This window comes from Homo sapiens, chromosome 8 (genome assembly GCF_000001405.40).
Source record: "Homo sapiens chromosome 8, GRCh38.p14 Primary Assembly".
Lineage (NCBI taxonomy): Eukaryota > Metazoa > Chordata > Mammalia > Primates > Hominidae > Homo > Homo sapiens.
In genome coordinates, this window is record NC_000008.11 from 41,012,125 (window position 1) to 41,012,577 (window position 453).

At 45.5% G+C, this 453-nt stretch overlaps 1 annotated feature.

Moving 5' to 3' along the window:
* Positions 253-453: a silencer, noted in NCBI's record as "peak7001 fragment used in MPRA reporter construct". NCBI's record gives its function as "represses an SCP1 promoter by STARR-seq MPRAs in K562 erythroleukemia cells {active_cell/tissue: K562}" and the evidence as "EXISTENCE:reporter gene assay evidence [ECO:0000049][PMID:32103011]".

Here is a 453-nt window from a genome sequence, read left to right on the forward strand (position 1 = left end):
GCTAATTTTTGTATTTTTTATAAAGATGGGGTTTTTCCATGTTGTCCAGGCTCGTCTCCAACTCCCGAGCTCAAGCAATGTGCCCCCCAATGGCATCCCAAAGTGCTGGAATTACAGGCATGAGCCACCACACCCTGCTATACTTTGAATTTTGAATTTTGATCTTTTCCTGGGCTAGCAATATGCTGTAAGATACCCTCATGACACTGGGTAGCAGCAGCAAGCTGGAGCTCTCAGCCAGCCATGCTATCACAAAGATGAACCACTAATACTATGCCTTACAGTGTACTGTATTCATTCAATCACATGAGCCATTTGTGGAATCCTGATAAGATAAGGTAGCAAGGAGGGAACCCCAGGGTAGGGGGGAGCAATTGTTCTGAGAGACAGCTAACCACAAACTACTCCTTAGCACAACATCCTGTTCCCAAATACCTTGCTCTTCATGTAGCC